Source organism: Homo sapiens, chromosome X, assembly GCF_000001405.40.
Source record: "Homo sapiens chromosome X, GRCh38.p14 Primary Assembly".
NCBI classification, from domain to species: domain Eukaryota; kingdom Metazoa; phylum Chordata; class Mammalia; order Primates; family Hominidae; genus Homo; species Homo sapiens.
The window spans coordinates 74,187,345-74,206,565 of NC_000023.11; the positions used below are offsets into that span (position 1 = coordinate 74,187,345).

The following is a 19,221-nucleotide window of genomic DNA, read 5'->3' on the forward strand; positions in this document are numbered from 1 at the left end:
AGCAGGAGAAAAGGGAGCTAAATTGCCAGCTCTAACTAAGGGTTTCTGCTACTGACCTCACAACACAGAAATGCAAGTGTGGTACTTCCAGTGAAAGCACATGGCATCCTTCCAGGTGTGTAACCACTCAGGAGGGACAGTAAAACTGTTATTTTTAATATCAGAATGTCATTTTTGTGTGCATATCCCTAAAATTAGGGTTATTTGTACATACACTAGTTACGTTTGTGAATTTTTTTAAGATCTCTTCTAATTTCCATGCAGTTAAAAACAATCTAGTTCTCTTAAAGCATTAGAAAGTTATTATCTGGAGAGTGCAGAGATTTCACTCCATACACCTTTCTCCACAAAGCAGAACCAGAAGTAACTGGCTATTGTGCCTAAAACTATTTCATTTTAAAAACAAGTGCCATTAATATGGAATATCTAATGATAAGTACATGAAATGTATATATTAATGTGTATATTAATTAGCTCAATTTAGCTATTCCACAATTTACATATTTCAAAACAATGTTATACATGATAAATATATATAATTTTTGTCAATTAAAACATAAATTTTAAAAATGGACTATCGCATAGAAGCCTAGAACAAAAATATAAAGAGAAATATCTGACATTCAAAAAGAAATGATAAGCAGAAAAAATAATATAGAAGAAAAAATTCACTACTTTAGAAACACTTTATATTGTTTATGAATGGCTTCTTGCCCCAAACTTTTATTAACACGGCCCTAATGAAGCAGATTATTGGAAAAAATTGGGAGTGAGGACAAGGGTTATATAAAAATTTTATTTTAGGAAGAAAATATGTAGGAGAAACTGAATTTTCAGGACATTTACAGTGTGAAATCATGTTGCATTTAATAATGTACTTTATTAGCAACTTCACCAAATATTCCCCAAGTCATAAGCAACAATTATTTTTATTAGTTTTGGGGGGTGGAGTCGTTTTAATAAAGTGCACAGAACAGTGACATCCACAAAGCCTTATAGGCAGGATTCATGCATCCTGCTGCAAGTACCTCTGCACTAATAAATTAGATCCTAAAATGCATATAAGGTGGACTAGCATCTTAACTCTGCTAGTTGATCATATCTTCACTGAAAAGAACCCAGCTACCAATTGCCTTTTTTTAACACCACAAATGCTAATTAGAAACTTGAGATTTTATAGAAATTATTTAATGATAGAGATTACATATGTGAATTAATGTGAATATAGTATCTGTGCTTCCTGTGTCTATAAATATTTTAAGTTATAATTAACTGTCCTGCACTATCAGATTAACATTTCGAAGTTTCTAGAACAGTTAATGCTATTTACAGAAAGGAGTGGAAACTCATCAACTGGCACTCTCTTTGATTTTTATATTTTAAATTAACTCTCTTTGAACCCAATTAAAGTATATTTTATGAGTAATTTTGTTAGGCATCTCTTAATTATAGTGCCTCAATGGGATAAGATATTTGCCTATTTTCACAGTTCTGAACTTGGAAAGAAGCAAAGTATATGTAAATAAGCCACATATTTGTCTTTTTATTGCTTTTTTCCCTCTTTTATATGCTAAATCAAATATAAATTTGTGGATAGGGAAGCAATATGTGAATCACAATGTAGCAGAGGCAGACCAAGCATTACATTATTACTTAGAGTTGTACTTTTAGAGCTGGACTGCACCAATTACTTGTCCTCATGCCAAAGGCAAATATATTTGCAACTTTTTTTTTTCATTTCTCAGGTTGATTAATACTGCTAATGCAAATGCTCAAGTAGATGTTTAAAAACTTTACAAAATAGATTCAAGGAATACTTTCTTTTAAAAGTGAAGACTTGATGATTACACATAGTAAATTCATGAACTACAGTAGGTTTGTATCAAACAGAATAACTTTTTAAATGAAAATCTTTTGAGGTGTGCACAATATGCTTCTTATTTTAGTCCTTGGTCTTTGCTAGATCTCATGAGTTTCATCATTTAGAAAAGGGGTAGGGGATGAACTAGTGTGGTCTCCTTCAGATGTAAACATGAAATACCTAGCGTTTTACTCGCTTCTCAATACACTGAATAATTTTAAATGGTTCAGACACTGATGTAGACCCTTTGGCTTATAATGTTGGATAAATTCTGAGGAAACAACTCTGACAGCTTAAAATATTTACATTCTTATGTTATAACACAGCACAGTAACTTTCTTCTTTCAAGATTGTAGCTCAGAGAAAAGACACAGGATTCCATTGGGGGTTCAAAGGGATAGAAGTGGAGAGATTCCTTTGTGTTGAAATAGAGGCATTTTCCTAAAAAGTATATATTTATACTTTGCATTTTCATTCATCATCCCCCAGAATCATGGTCAAAGTGTAGGTCACTCCACACAGCTGATGCTCAGGTCATTGCATTATGAGAATTATGAGAATAAAGCTCTCAAGGTATGTGAAAGTGCTTAACACAGTACCTGGCATACAGCACTCAATAATAAGTTTGGCTCTATTATGGGATGTTCAAATTCTGGTTTAAGAATGTAAGAAAGGTTATATATATATACCACTAAGCAAATATAAATATCTATGTATATATATAGCAAAGACCATATATATATATATGGGTTTTTTTCCCTAATAATATTTGGGTGTCCCCTGTGCTTCTTTAGGATGTAGTTATAACTCTCAATGAGAACACATGGACACAGGGAGGGAACATTACACACTGGGGCCTGTCAGAAGGTGGGGGGCAAGGGAAGGGATAGCACTAGGAGAAATACCTAATGTAGATGACGGGTTGATGGGTGCAGCAAACCACCATGGCACATGTATACCTATGTAACAAACCTGCACGTTCTGCACATGTATCCCAGAACTTAAAGTATAATTTAAAAAAAAAGATACAAACAAAACAAAACAAACAAACAAACAAAACGTCTGCTGGGTTTGATAAGGATTGAATCTGCAAATGAGTTTAAGGGGTATTGCCATTTTAACAATATAAAGTCTTTATGGAATGTCATTCTATTTATTTAAGACTTCTTTAATGTTTTAACAATGTTTGTTTGTTGTTTTCAGAGTATATGTTTTGCACTTGTTTTGTTACATTTATTCCTAAGGATTTTGTTCTTTTTCATGATATTGCAAATTAAATCATTCTTTTCATTTCATTTTTGTTTTGTTCATTGCTGCTATAGAGAAATACAATTGATTTTGTATATTGATCTGTTCTCCTGCCACTGTGTTGAAATTGTTAATTATTTCCAATAGTTTGTAGTAGATTCCTTAGGATATTCATGCATACATTTATGTCATCTACAAATACAGATTGTCTTACTTCCTTCCAAATCGGGTTGATTTTTATTTCTTTTTCTTGCCTGATTGCCCTGATTGGAATCTTCAGTACAATGTGGAATAAAAGTGGTGAAGGCAAACATCCGTGTCTTGTTCTGGATCTTAGGGAGAAAGCTTTTATCATTAACTATTATGTTAGCTGTGGCTTTTCCATAGATGCCCTTTGTCAGCTTTGAGGAAGTTTCCTTCTGTTCCTAGTTTGTTGAGTGTTTTTATCATGAAAGAGTGCTAGATTTTGTCAAACAGTTTTTACTTCTATTGAGATGATCATTTGGTTTTTGTTTTCATTCTTTTGACATGGTGTATTACATTAGCTGATTTTCAAATGTAAAACAACCTTGCATTCCTAGGATAAATCTTACTAGGTCATGCCGTACAATTCTTTTTATATGTTGTTGAATTCGGTTTGTTAATACTTTGCTGAGGATTTTTGTGTCTATACTCATAAGCAATATCAGTATGTAGTTTTCTTTCCTCGTAATATTGTCTGGTTTTGGTATCTTGATAGTAATGTACTCACAGGATGTGTAGGGAAGTGTGCCCTCCTCTTCTAGTTTTAGAAATTTGGTATATGTTATTAAGTGTTGGATAGAATTAACCAGTGAAGTCTACTGTTTCTGGCCTTTTCTTTGTATGAAATTGAACGATTGCTTATTTACATCTCCTTACTCTCTATAGGTCCATTCAGATTTTACATTTTTTTCTTGAGTTAGTTTCAGTAGTTTGTGTTCTTCTATGAACTTATCCATTTCACATGTTATCTATTTTGTTGTCATATAATTGTAGACAGTATTTCCTTACATTTCTCTTGTTTTTGTAATATTGGTAGTAATGGCAACTCTTTCATTTTTATTTTAGTAAATTGAGTATTCTCCTTTTTTCTTGATTTGTGTAGCTCGTTTCATCAATTTTGTTAATCTTTTAAAAGAACCAAGTTTTTGATTACCTCATTTTCTCTGTTGTTTTTCTCTTTTACATAATATTAACTTCTGACCTAATCTTCATGATTCCATTCTTCTGCTTAATTTGTGTTTATTATTATTGAATTACAAATAAAAATTATATATATTTATGGTGTACAACATGATTTCTTAAAGTATGTATACATTGTGAAGTGGCTAAATCAAGCTAATTCACATATGCATTACCTTGGATATTTATTTTTGTGGTGAAAACACTTAAAATCTACTCTAAGCAAATTTCAAGTACAAAATATATCATTAATGCATTGTTGTAAGTATAGTCACCATGTTAGACAATATTCTTGAACTTATTCCTCTTGTCTAACTAAAATTTTCTATCCTTTAACCAATATCTCCTCTATCTCCCACTTCCCCAACAGGGCTCCTGTCTACACTCTGCTTCTGTGAATCTATCATTTTTAGATTCCACATATAAGTGAGATCACGGAGTTTTTGTCTTTCGGTGCTCGGCTTATTTCACATAACACATTATCCTCTGGGTTCACCCATGTTTCCCCAAATGACAGGATATCCTTTTAGAAGGCTAAAGAGTATTCCATGTGTGTATATACCACAGTTTCTTTATCCATTCATTTGTCAATGGACATTTAGGTTGCATCCATATTTCAGCTGTGGTGAATAATGTAAATAATATGGGAGTGCAGATATCTCTTGAAATACTGATTACATTTTCTTTGGATATTTACCTAGAAGTCGAATTGCTGGATCATATGGTAATTTTTTTGAAGAACCTCTGTATTGTTTTTGATAATAGTAGTATTGATTTACTTTCCCACCAGCAGTGTACAATGGTTCCCTTTTCTTTTCATTCTGCCCAACACTGACCGTCTTTCCCCTTTTTGATACTAGCTCACTCTACGGGTGTGATGTGATATGGTGGTTTTTAATTTTCATTTCCCTGATGATTAGTAACGTTGAGCAATTTTTTTCATATATCTAATGGCCATTGGTATGTCTTCTTTTGAAAATAACAACTTAGGTCTTTTTGTCCATTGTTTAATTGGGTTACTTGTTTTCTTGCTATTGAGTTATTTGAGTTCCTTATATATTTTGTATATTAACTTTTTATCAGATGTGTGGATTACAAATATTTTCTCCCATTTTATGGGTTGTCTCTTCACTTTGATTGTTTCCTTTGCTGTGCATAAGCTTTTTAATTTGTTGTAATAGCATTTGTCCATTTTTGGTTTCGTTACCTGTGCTTTTGGGGTTATAGCCAAGAAATCATTGCCCACACCAGTGACATGGAACTTTTGCCCTATGTTTTCTCGTAGTTTTACAGTTTCAGGTTTTACATTTAAGTCTTTTATCCATTTTGAATTGATATTTTGTATATAGTGTGAAATAAGGATCTAATTTTATTCTTCTTTATTCTTCTGTGTATGTATATCCAGTTGTCCCAACACCATTTATCAAAGAGACTGTCCTTTCCCCATTGTGTGTTCTTGGCACCTTTGTCAAACATCAATTGACTGTAAATGTGTGGATTTATTTCTGGGCTTTCTGTTCTGTTCCATTAGTCTATTTGTCTGTTTTTATGCTAGTATAAAGTTGTTTTGACTACTATAATTTTATAGTAGATTTTAAAATCAGGAAATGTGACGCCTCCAGTTTTATTCTTTTTGCTCAAGATTACTTTGGCTATTCAGCATCTTCTATAGTTCCATACAAATTGTCGGGTTGTTCTATTTCTGTGAAAAATGTCATTGAAGTTTTGATATGGATGGCATAAAATCTGTAGATTGCTTTGATTAATATGGGCATTTTAACAATATTAATCTTACAGCTTATAGACACAAGATACATTTCTAGTTATTCGCATTTTCTTTAGTTTCTTTCATCAGTGTTTTATACTTTTTACTGTACAGATCTCTCACCTTCATGGTTAAATTTATTCCTCAGAGTTTTAGTTTTATAGCTATTGTAAATGAGATTGGTTTGTTGATTTCTTTTTCAGAAATTTATTGTTAGTGTATAGAAACACTTCAGATTTTGTATCTTAATTTTGTATACTGTAAATTTTCAGAAGATGTTTATTAGGTCCAATTGTTCTTTTGTGGAGCCTTTATAGTTTTCTAATAAGATCATGTTATCAGCAAACAGAAATAACTTCACTTGTTCCTTTCTGAAATAAAAGCCTTTTATTTCATCTTCACTAACTGCTCTTGCTAGGAATTCCAGTATTCTATTGAATAGAAGTGAGTGGGCATCTTTGTCTAGTTCCTGATCACAGAGAAAAAGATTTTAGCTTTTTCCCATTGAGTATGTCGTCAGCTGTGGGCTGTTATATATAAATGGCTTTTATTTTGTTGACATACATTCCTTCTATACATAATTTGTTGAGGCTTTTTATTATAAAAGTATGTTTTGTCAAGTGCTTCTGCACCTATTAAGACGATCAATTGGCTTTTGTCTTTTATCCTATTAATGTGATGTACCATATTTATTAATCTGCATATGTTGAACCATTCTTTCCTCCCTGGGATAAATACCATTTGGTCACGGTGAATGACCCATTAATGCGTTGTTGAATTGAGTTTGCTAGCATTTTGTTGAGGATTTTGCATCTATGTTCATCGGGAATACTGGTCTGCTGTTTTCTTTCCTTGTAGTGTTTTGTCTGGCTTTGGTATCCAAGTAACGCTGGCCTCAAAATGAGTTTGAATGTATTCCCTCCTCCTCAATTTTGTGGAATATTTTGAGAAGGATTGGTATTAGTTCTTCCTTAAATGTTTGGTATAATTCAGCAGTGAGGTCATCAGGTCCTGGGCTTTTCTATGTTGGGAGTTTTGGATTAATCATTTAATATACTTGTTATTGGTCTATACAGATTTTCTGTTTCTTCATGATTCAGTCTCGGTAGGCTGTATGTTTTTAGGAATGTATCCATTTTTCTAGGTTATCAATTTTTGGGGGAATATAATTGCTCATAGTTTCTTATGACTTTATATTTCTGTAGTATCAGTTGTAAGGTCTTCTCTTTCATTTATGATTTTATTCATTTCAGTCTTCTCTCTTTTTCTTAGTCAAGCTAAAAGTTTGTCAATTTTGCTTATCTTTTCAAAATACTAACTCTTAGTTCTGTTTATCCTTTCTGTTGTTTTTCTAGTCTCTATTCATTTTTATTCCTGTTCTGACCTTTATTCCCTTTCTGCCAGCTTTCAGTTTAGGCTGGTCTTTTAGAGTTCCTTGAGGTATAATGTTAGTTTGGATTTTTAAGTCTTTTTTCTTTTTTGATGTAGGCATTTATTGCTATAAAGTCCCCTCTTAGAACTGCTTTTGCTGCATCCCATACATTTGGCATGTTGTTTCCGCTTTCTGTTGTCCCAAGATATTTTTCAATTCCTTTTCATTTCTTCTTGACTCTTTGTTCAGGAGCATGTTGTTTAATTTCTACATATTTGTGAATTCTCCAATTTTTCTTGTTATTGATTTCTAGATTCATACCGTTATGGTTACTGAGATTCCTGGGGCAGGCCTGGATCCTGATTCTGCTGGACTGTCAGGGGTGGCCTCAAGCTTGGGTCTATGCATGCCAACCTGGTGCTGGAGTGAGACTGGAGGCTAGGTCCACAAGTGTTGGCCTGGAGTCTGGGGCTGAAGAGGCAGACCAGGCAATGGTATGGGGCGGGGGGCGCCTGAAGCCTGGGCCCATGTGGTACTGGGCCAATCTCAGTCTGGTACTGGGCCAATCTGGAGTCTGGGTTGGGCCTGAAGCTTGAGTCTCCAGGGGCCAGCCTGGACCCTGAGGCTGCAGGAGCAGGCTTGGTGCTGGTGCCTGTTGGTGCCACCCTAGCACTACAGTGAGCCTGAAGCCTGGGGCTTCAGGGGCCAGCCTGGTGCTAGAGCAGGCCTGGAGCCTGGGTCTGCAGATGCTGGCTTGGAGTCTGGAGATGTGGTGGCTAGCCTGGCACTGTGGTGGACTGGTTCCTAGGTTAGTAAAGGCTAGCCTGGAGCTAGGGTATAGTGGTGTTGGTCTGGTGCAGAGGAGGGCCTGGAAACTAGGTCCATGGGTATCTGCCTGGAGTCTGGGGCTATGGGGCCTGGCCTGGCAGTGGGGCAGGCCTAGAAGCTGGGTACTTAAGGTCATGGCTGGGTCCTAGGGCTGTGGGTGCTGGCCTGGTGCCTGAGACTGCCAAGGTTATCCTGGAGCTGGGTCCTGGGTGTACTGGCCTGGAGGTTCCATCCACAAGTGCTGGCCTGAAGCCTGGAGGCATGACTCTTGGCTACACTCACCAGGAATTTAGTCAATTCAAGTTGGAATTGGAGGGGACAAGAAATGCAGGCAGGCTGACACTCCAGGTGAGATATAATAAGCCTTGAATGGGAGCTAGACACAGACCTTACACCCTTCATAAAAATGTTCTTAAAATGGACCACAGACCTAAGTGTAAAATGAAAAACTATAAAACTCCTGTAAAATAGCATAGGAGAAAATCTGGTTGACCTAGGGTTTAGCAATGACTTTTTAGAAGCAATACCAAAAGTACAACCAATGGAAGAAAGAATAGATTAACTGAACTTCATTAAAATTAAAAATTTCTACCCTGTGACAATGTAAAAAGAATGAGAAGATAAGCCACAGACTGAGATAAAATATTAGCAAAGGACATTCTGATAGAGAACTTTTATCCAAAATATACAAAGAACTCTTTAAACTCAACAATAAGAAAATAAACCTGATTTTTTTTATGTTTTAAATAAATTTTATTGTCTATATTAAGGTATACAACACAATGTTAAATGAAACATATATATATATATAGTAAAACTATAGTGGAACAATGAACATACCCATCATCTCACATAGTTACTGATTATTCCCCCATTGGCAAGAGCAGGTATAATCTACTCATTTAGCAAAAAGTCCTGAACACAATATACAATATGTATTAACTATAGTCCTCATGTTGTACATTTGATCTTTGATCTTTTCACTTGTTCATCCTGCATATTTACTACTTTGCATCCTTTGACCTACATCTCATTTCCTCCACCTTATCCTGACCTTAGTAATTACTGTTTTATTCTCTATCTCTATATATTTAACCTTTTTTTTCTTGATTCCACATATAAGTGAGATCACGCAATATTTTTCTTTCTGTGTCTGGCTTATTTCATTTAGCATAATGTCTTCTAGGTCTATCCATGTTTTGGCAAATGACAGGACTGCCTTCTTTTTAAAGGCTAAATAATATTCTAATTATCTATCTATTGATCTCTCTATATCACAGTTTCTTTATCCATTTGCCCATTGATGAACACCTAGGTTGTGTCTGTATCTTGACTATTGTGAATTGTGCTGCAATAAACTTGGGAGTGCAGAGATAATCTCATTCCCTTTGGGGATATACCCAGAAGAGGGATTGCTGGGTCATATGGTAGTTCTATTTTTAATTTACTTAGGAACCTCCATACTGTCTTCCATAATGGCTGCACCAATATATAATACATTCCCACTAACAGTGTACAAGTGCTCCCTCTTCTCCACACCCTCACCAACACTTGTTAGCTCTTGTCTTTTTGATAATAGCTATCCTAACATGTATGAGGTGGTATCTCAAAGTAGTTTTGATTTGCATTTTCCTGATGACTGGTGATATTGAGCACCATTTCATATACCTGTTGGTCATTTTCTGTCATCTTTGAAGAAATGTCTATTCAAGTCCTTTCCCCACTTTTTTTTAATCAGGTTATATGTTGTCTTGCTATTGAGTTGTATGAGTTCTTCCTAAATCCTGAATATTAAAACCTTGCCTGATATATGGTTTGCAAATATTTTCTCCTTATCTGTACATTGCCTTTTCATTTTGTTGATTGTTTTCGTTCTGTGTAGAAGTTTTTTAGATTGATATAATTTCATTTATTTATTGTTGCTTTTGTAGCCTGAGGTTTTGGTGTGATATCCAAGGAAACATTGCCAAAGCCAGTGTCAAGGAGCTTTTCCCTTATGTTTTCTTCTAGATTTATGGCTTCAGGTCTTACATTCAGATCTTTTATCCATTTTGGATTGATTTTTGTGTATGGTGTAATGTAAGAGTCTAATTTCATTCTTTTGCATGTGGAAATTCCAGCACCTATTTATTGAAGAGACTACCCTTTTCTCATTTTGTCTTTTTGGTGCTCTTGTCAAAAATTCATTAACCATACATGTTTGGATTTATTTCTGGCTATTTCACTGTCCTGTGTATCTCTTATGCCAATACTGTATTGTTTTGATTACTCTCGTTTTGTAATATAAATTTAAATTGGGAAGTATGATGCCTCCAGGATTTTTTTTTCTCAGAATTGCTTTGGTTATTTGGGATCTTTTGTGGATCCACAGAAATTGTATGATTTTTTTCTATTTCTGTGAAGAATGCTGATGAGATTTTGATAGGGATTGCATTGAATCTATATATTGCTTTGGGTAGTATGGACACTTTAACAACATTAATTCTTCCAATCTATGAGCATGGAATATCGTTTTATTTATTTGTGTCCTCTTCAATGTATTTCATCAATGTTTTGTGGTTTTCAGTGTGCAGGCTATACTGATGCACTTTCATCTTCTTGGTCAAATGTATTCTTAAGTGTTTTATGTTATCATAAATGGGATTGTTTTCTTGATTTCTCAGCTAGGTTGTTATTTGTGAATAAAATGGCCATGGATTTTTGTATATTAATTTTATATCCTGCAACTTTACTGAATTCATTTATTAGATCTAATAGGTTTTTTTGGTGGAGTCTTTGGAGTTTTCTACACATAGGATCATATGATGTGCAAAGAGAGATCATTTTACTTCTTCCTTTCCAATTTAGATATCTTTAATTTCTTTTTCTTGTCTAATTGCTCTCTCTTGATAGTACTTCCAGTACTATGTTGAATAGAAGTGGTGGGAGTGGGTAATAACTGATTTTTAAATGTACAAACATCTGAAAAGGACACCTCACCAAAGAAGATATACATATGGAAAATAGGCATATGAAAAGAAGCTCAAGGTGATATGAGTTGTCTTCCAAAAGGTAATGAAAAATGCATATTATGAAAAAATTATGGAGTCCAAATTTTTTATACCAAAATAAGCTCATACTAACTTGTTATAACATGCCTGAACAGGATGTAGTTTGAGGCACTAAAAAGGTAAGACGTAAGTTTGAAAAGAGCACCTGTCAGAGCAACATAAATTCTACTAAAATTGAAGCAAAACCAAACATCAAATTTAGTGTGAAGCTTGGGTGGAAGAATGGTAAAATCATTGATGCTTTATGAGAAGTTTATGGGGATGATTCTCCAAAAGAAATCAGCAGTTTGCAAACAGATAACTCATTTTAAGAAGGGATGAGATGATGCTGAAGATGAAGCACATAGCAGCAAGCCTTCCACATCGTTTGAAAAAAAAATTGAAAAAAATTATGTCCATGCCTTAATTGAAGAAGAACAAGAATTAACAGCACAAACAATAGTCAACACCATAGATATCTAAATTGGCTTAGCTTACACTATTCTGACTGAAAAATTAAAGTTGAGCAAACTTTCCACTCAATGGGTACCAAAACTGTTGTGCCCAGATCAGCTGCAGACAAGAGCTGAGCTTTCAATGGAAATTTTAACAAGTAGGATCAAGATCCTGTAGCAATTTCTTGAAGAATTTTAACAGGAGACAAAACATGGCTTTACCAGTATGATCCTAAAGATAAAGCACAATCAAAGCAATGGCTACCAAGAAGTGGAAGCGGTCTAGTCAAAGCAAAACTGGACTGGTCAAGAACAAAGCTCATGGCAATAGTCTTTTGGAATGTTAAAGGAATTTTTCTAGTTGGTTTTCTGGAGGGCCAAAGAACAACAACATCTGCTTATTATGAAAGTGTTTTGAGAAAGCCAAAGCTTTAGCAGAAAAACACCTGGGAAAGCTTCATTAGAGAGTCCTTCCCCATCACAATGCTTCTGCTTATTCCTCTCATCAAACAAGGGCAATTTTGTGAGAGCTTTGATGGGAAATCATTAGGCATTCATCCACCTTACAGTCCTGATTTGGCTCCTTCTGACTTCTTTTTGTTTCAAAGTCTTAACAAACCTTTAAATTGCACACATTTTTCTTCAGTTCATAACGTAAAAAAGACTTCATTGACCTGATTAAATTCTCAGAACCCTCAGTTCCTTAGGGATGAACCAAATGGCTGGTATCATTGCTTACAAAGTATCTTGAACTCGATGGAGCTTATGTTAAGAAGTTTATATTTTTTACTTTTACCTTTTAGTTCAATTTTTCCATAAATTTTTGAAGTCCCCTCATACATCATCAGGGAATTGCAAATTAAAACAACAATAAGATGCCACTATGCACCTGAAAGAATAGCCAAAATCTATAACACTGACCACACCAAATACTGTAGAGGATGTTTAGCATAAGGAACTCCCAGTCACTGTTAGTGGAAATGCAAAATGATACAGCCACTTTGGAAGACAGTTTGCAGTTTCCTACAAAACTAAACAGAATTGCTATACTATCTAGCAATTATATTCCTAGGTATTTAACCAAATGAGTGGAAATTCATGATAACACAAAAACCTGCAAATGAATGTTTATAACAGCTTTATTAATATTGGCCAAAACTTGGAAGCAACCAAGATGTCCCTCTATAGGTGCATAGATAAACATTTTATGGCCCATCCATAAAATGAAACATTATTCAGCAATAAAAGGAAATGAGGTATAAAGCCATGAAGAGATATGGGGGAAATTTAAATTCATATTGCTAAGTGAGAGAAGCCAGTTTGTTAGTTTATTTTATAAATCAGGATATGGTTTATTTTGGTGAATATTCCATGTGTACTTGCAAAAATTGTGAATTCTACCACTTTTGGTTATAGTGGTCTATAAATGTCCATTAGGACAAGTTTATCCTAGTGTTGTTCAGATCTATCCTTGTTAACTTTTTAGCTAATTTATTTAGCTAAAATTAATTTTTTAGCTAACTTTTATTAATTATTAAGAGTAAAGCATTTAAATCCCAAATATAATTGTGGATTTGTCAATTTCCCCTTGCAGTTATGTCAATTTTTACTTCCGGTATTGTTATGTCTTTATCAGGGGGCAATTCACCAAGCAGTGCCCTCTTTCTCTCTGATAATATTGCTTCTTTTGAAGTCCACTTTTGTTTATATTAATATTGTCATTCCAACTTTTTTTTGACTAGAGTTTGCACAATATATTATCCCTTTCTTTTTATTTACAGTGAGTTACGGGTAGAAAGCATATATTTGGGTCTCTAGGAAGAATTGAATATTTAATACCTTGTGACTATATAAGATTTCTATTTTTTCTTGAGTAGGTTTTGATAATTTATATTTTGCTAGGAATTTGTCTATTTTCTCTAAACTTTCAAACCCTATTGGCATAAATTGTTAACACTGTCCCTTAATCTTTTTAATCTTTATGGTGTTTTTCAATATGCTCCCCCTTTTCTTTCATAATATTATTTCTATATACTTTTCTTTTTGTCTTGATTAATCGGCCAAATGTTTGTCTATTTTATTACAAAACTAAAATAACCAAAACAGGCTGGTACTGGCATAAAGATAAACATTTAGACCAATAGAATAGAATTGAGACTGCAGAAGTAAACTCATACATATATCTTCAATTGAATTTCTACAAGGGTGTCAGGACCATACCATCAGAAAATAATATTTTTCAACAAATCACTTTGGGTCAATTGCATAGATACATGCAAAACAATGAAGCTGGACTCCTAACACATACTATATTAAAAATTAACTTCAATTGATTACAGACATGAATACAAGAGCTAAAACTAAAAATTATAGAAGAAAAAGTAAGAGTAACTCTTCATGACCTTTAATTTAACAATGAATTATCAATAATGATACCAAAACACAAGCAATAAAAAATAAAAAAGACAAAAGACAACCCACAAAATGGGAGAAAATATGTGCAAATTACATATCTAATAAGGATCTGTTATCCAGATTATAACTCTTACAACCTAACAACAAAAAGACAATAACTCATTTAGAAACTGCCAAAGACTTGAATAGACATTTCTTCAAAGAAGATATACTAGTGGCCAAGAAGCACATGAAAAGATGCTCAATATCATTAATCATTTAGGGAAATGCAAAATAAAATCACAATGAGATACCACTTTACACCTACTAGGATGGCTATAATCAAAAAGAAAAACAGAAAATAATAAAGGGGTTCTCAGGATGTGGAGAAATTTGTAACTTCATACACTGCTGGTAGGAATATACAATGGCACAGCCACCATGGAGAACAGTTGGGAAGTTCTTCAAAAAGTTGAACAGAATTACAATATGACCCAGCAATTCCACTCCTAGATATATACCCAAGAAAAATAAAAACTTGTGTCCACTAAAACCTTGTACACAAATGTTCACAGCAATATTATTCATAATAGCTAAAAAAAAGTAGAAACAACCAATCAATGGATAAATGGATAAACAAAATGTGGTATACTCATACAATGAAATATTTTTCTCCATGAAAATGAATGAAGGCTGACCATGGTGGCTCACGCCTGTAATCCCAGCACGTTGGGAGGCTGAGGCAGGCGGATCACCTGAGGTCAGGAGTTTGAGACCAGCCTGGCCAACATGGTGAAACCCTGTCTCTACTAAAAATACAAAAAAAGTAGCTGGGCATGGTGCCAGGCGCCTGTAATCCTGGCTACTTGGGAAGCCAAGACAGGAGAATCGCTTGAACCTAGAAGGCAGAGGTTGAAGTGAGCTGAGACTGCACCACTGCACTCCAGCCTGGGCAAGAAGAATGAAACTCCATCTCAAAAAAAAAAAAAAAAAAAATGAAGTCCTGATACATGCTATATGGATTACCCTACAAAACATCCTAAGTGAAAGAAACCCATGATAAAAGGCATCTATTGTGTTATTCCATTTACGTGAATTATCCGGAACAGGGGAATCCATAGAGACAGAACATAAATCAGTGGTTGACAGGGATGGGGGAAAATAGGGGTGACTGCTTAATGAATGCAAGATTTATTTTGGGGGTGATGGCAATGTTCTGGAACTAGGTAGTGGTAACGCCTGCACAACATTATGAAGTTTCTGTTGGTAGGACAGCAGTAGAGGCCATGGGTCATGACAATCTTCTCACGTCAGTCAGCCGAGGCATCACCATCCTGTCCTTAATGGCCTTAGCAGGTCCGGGGGCTATGTGGTTCCCAATCCACGTGCAGGTGACAGTGTTGCAGGCATAGGGCCAGGGGCCAAGAACCAAGAGCCTGACGGTACAAGCAACATGTACTCGGTGATTCAGGTGGGTAAGGAGAAGTATGCCACCTCAGTGTCAGAGGAGGAGGCCACCTTTGAGGTGCTGCTGCTACTGTACTTGGGCTTCGCCGAGGTGTACCTGCAGGACCTGCACCCAGACTAGGGGAGCAGGAAGATGCGGTGGTATACCTTGAAATCCAAACCAGGAGAGAAGGATAAAGAGGAGAAATTGAGGTTGACATCCAGCTTATGAGAAACAACATGACTGCCAGTATGTTTGACCTTTTCATCAAAGACAAGCCTCGGAATCCATTTGGAAAACTTTAAGACAAGATCAAGGGGAAGAATATGGATAGTGCATCAGGTGCTGCCTCCAACATAGTCTCCAGCACTACACCTTCAGTCAAAAGTGATGATTAGTCTTCGTCCAAAGACAAGAAGGATCAAGACCTTGTTTTCCAAGTCTAATTTGCAGAAATTTCCTGATCCATGATTGCCCTGTAGACATCAAAGCTAAAATGCTGCCTCAACTGGGAGACTTTCAGTCCCGGTGGGACAATGACAACAATGAGAGGGACTCCTCTTCAGCTTCAGATGTCATGTCTCACAAGACAACAGCAAGTACATATCTTAAGCAGCTAAACGAAATCAATGTCACCCTTCCCAAAATGGAAGGACTTTCCTTTGAGGGTCTTCGGTCTATGAACGAAGTCCTTTCCCACTCTAATGTCTGTATCAATGGGAACCATGTTTAACTGGAGCAGCCAGAAGCCAAGGGTGAGAACAAGTATAGCAGTCCTTCTTCCTACCTGAAGCCCCAGGGCTTCAGGAAGAAACATTTGTTCTCATCTACCAAAAACCTGGCTGCTCAGTCTTGGAAGTAACCTGGGGAAGGAAGTGGGATGTCTCATGACAGGTGGCTCTTTGAGTCTTCTACCAAGAACTCTCTGAAGTCCATGTCTCCGCCATCCTACCAACCACTGTTCTGTGGGGACATTAGAGAAAACATGGCTCCAGCAAACTTGGAAGCTGCAAAAGAAACCAAAGAGAGCAAGAAGCAGAATAACGAGAGTCTTCTTTGCTTTCTCGGGTGACGGGGAAGAAGGACATGGCTAAGAACAGTGAAGGTGAAAACCCTCTTACCATCCTGGAGAAGAAGGAAGGCATGCTTATGGAGGTCAAGCCGGGTAGCATGCTTCAGGGCCTGTTAAAGACCTTACGAGAAGATTGGAGAAAGATATTGCAGCTATTGTCTCCAGAAGGGGTAACTCCCTGAACCCCTTTGAAGATGTGCAGATCACAGAACCAAAAACTGACCCAGAATCCAAGTCTGAACAGAATCACCAATTCTCTCTGTGATGGCTCCAAAAACCAGAGCTGTCAAACCTTGACTTCATCCTGTGAAGCCAATGAACACAATGGCCACCAAGATTGCTATCTCTAGCTTGGGAACTGCCACCATCATCAGTGAGAACTTGATCAACAAGACCACGATCAAGAAAACCCCTCAGATTCTGCTTTTGCCTATGCACAGCTAACCCAGAATGAGCTTATCCAGCTGCTCCTCAAACAGAAGAAAACAATAATAATAATAATAAGAGGGATTTCCAGGATCCTGAGCTGGAAGACTATACTGACAACCTGCCAATCAGTCATGGAAGAAACCCCCACGCTCCACATTCTGGCTCAGGTTAGCAAAAAATGCGGGAAAGATGTAAATCACCAGAATTAAACACGGGCATGTTTCCGTGAGTTTGTTTCCACCTGTTCTTGAGGTAAAGGACTCGCTATGCCTCATAACCAGCTAGCAGGTTCCGAATCACCATCTCCCTCGCATGTTATCTGGCAAGAGTCAATTCTACCAATTGAAGCCAGGTTAATAATTACAGTGAATCTTTTACCATGGGTCCCCAAGACTTTATTTTTAAATGCCACTGTGCCTTTAACTAGATTGTAAATATTTTATGGCCACCAGAGACGTGATCCTAAGTTCTGATCCTGAGCCAGAGATTCAGATGTCACAGGAGGTATTAATGTATTTCAACACTGAAGTTTTCTTTCTTTCATATTGAGATTTTTTTCAATATGTATCCTCCAGCTATTAAAACTTACCTGAGAAAGCTTTAAATAAGAAAAGGACCATGCAATAGTTGCTGTGTTACATACATGTACTTTCTCAGCTTTTGAGTAGCACAGGTGTGGCTTTTGGCTGCAGATGCTAAATTTTTGATACCATGTAAATGTACTCAACTTCTCAGACTTGGGTCTTGTTTTTTGTTTTTGTTTTTGTTTTTTGTTTTTTTTTTTTTTTTAATGGGAGCCAAAATGTTTAGAGAAAGCTTCTGGGTGTGCCTTTCAGATTTTGAACAAGCTGCCTTGTCTAAACATCAATTTCTACTACTCTGTAGCCTTAAAATGTGCTCTATTTAGATCCACAGGACCCTTCTACTGGTGATATGAAAAACAGAATACAGAAATTAAGAGAATCACTTTTTACTCAACAATTAGGGGAAGTAAGTCAAAGCCCTCCTCTTGCGACAGCAGATTTCCTGCGGGCCACCTGTTCAGCGCCTTGATAGGGGATAGGGTGATCAAAGCACTCACGAAAACAGTTCATTCAGGTATGGAATGTCAGAATTCCTTTGGCCATTTTCTCCTGACTCTTTGCTAGGTCCCCTGGTTTCCTTGGCAGCACTTCTTGGATGGAGGACAGGGTCCACCAACTTCTCAAGACATTGAGTCTTGAGACACAAGAAACCACAGACTTCAACCCTGAAGGGCCTAACTCTGTCCATATGTCTGTCCTTTGAATACTTCCTGTCCCTGCCTAAAAGGAAACCCAAATTGTTTCTAGGATACTGGTGAAGTTGTAGTGAGGGGCTTAATGCAGTTAATAATCTAAAAGCCAGCAGAAAACCAAAATGCCTCAGCCTTAAATGGTTGTTTCTTTTTTATTTTCCATAATGAATAGACTCACAGGCATTTTACCCCCTTATTATAAAATTGTGAAGAGAAAGAAGATGACACACTTTTGGACGCTGTATTTTATGTATTTATTTTTGAGACAGAGTCTTGCTCTCCTCGCCCAGGCTGGAGTGCAGTGGCACAATCACAGCTCACTGTAGCTTTGGCCTGCTGGGCTCAGGCAATCCTCCTACGTCAGCCCTCCAGGTACCTGGAACCACAGGTATATGCCACCATGCCCAGCTTTTTAAAATTATTTTTGTAGAGATGGGGGTCTCCCTATTTTGTTCAGGCTGGTCTTGAACTCCTGGGTTTAAGCAGTCCTCTCACCTCGGCCTCTCAAAATGCTGAGATTATAGGCATGAGCCACCACATGCAGCCAATTGCTATGTTTTTAAAACTAGATTTATAGACATATTTTTTAAAAGCTAGGGCACTTTTCCCCTTAACTAAAAGCACTAGTTCAGTTCTTCAGGTAATTTCATTGGAACTCACCTAAGACTGGAATTGGAATGTTTCCATGTTGCTCATTTTTTCTACAGGTTATGATAGAATCTCATTAAATCTTGACATCTCTCCCAGGGGAAGAATATCACAGGCCAGTGGTGTGAATGGGGTATGAGATGATAGCATTTACTAAATCGGTAATCTCTTTTATGTATGTTCTTGTTATATTG

The 19,221-nt window shown here is 36.3% G+C and overlaps 1 long non-coding RNA gene and 1 pseudogene across 1 annotated transcript in view; one reads left to right on the plus strand and one right to left on the minus strand.

The window, feature by feature from the left end:
• FTX (FTX transcript, XIST regulator) overlaps positions 1 to 19,221 on the minus strand; it is a 265,439-nt gene that overhangs the window by 159,209 nt on the left and 87,009 nt on the right. The gene's annotated exons all lie outside the window — the stretch shown is intronic.
• Positions 15,700 to 17,512, plus strand: RAB11FIP1P1 (RAB11 family interacting protein 1 pseudogene 1; annotated as a pseudogene).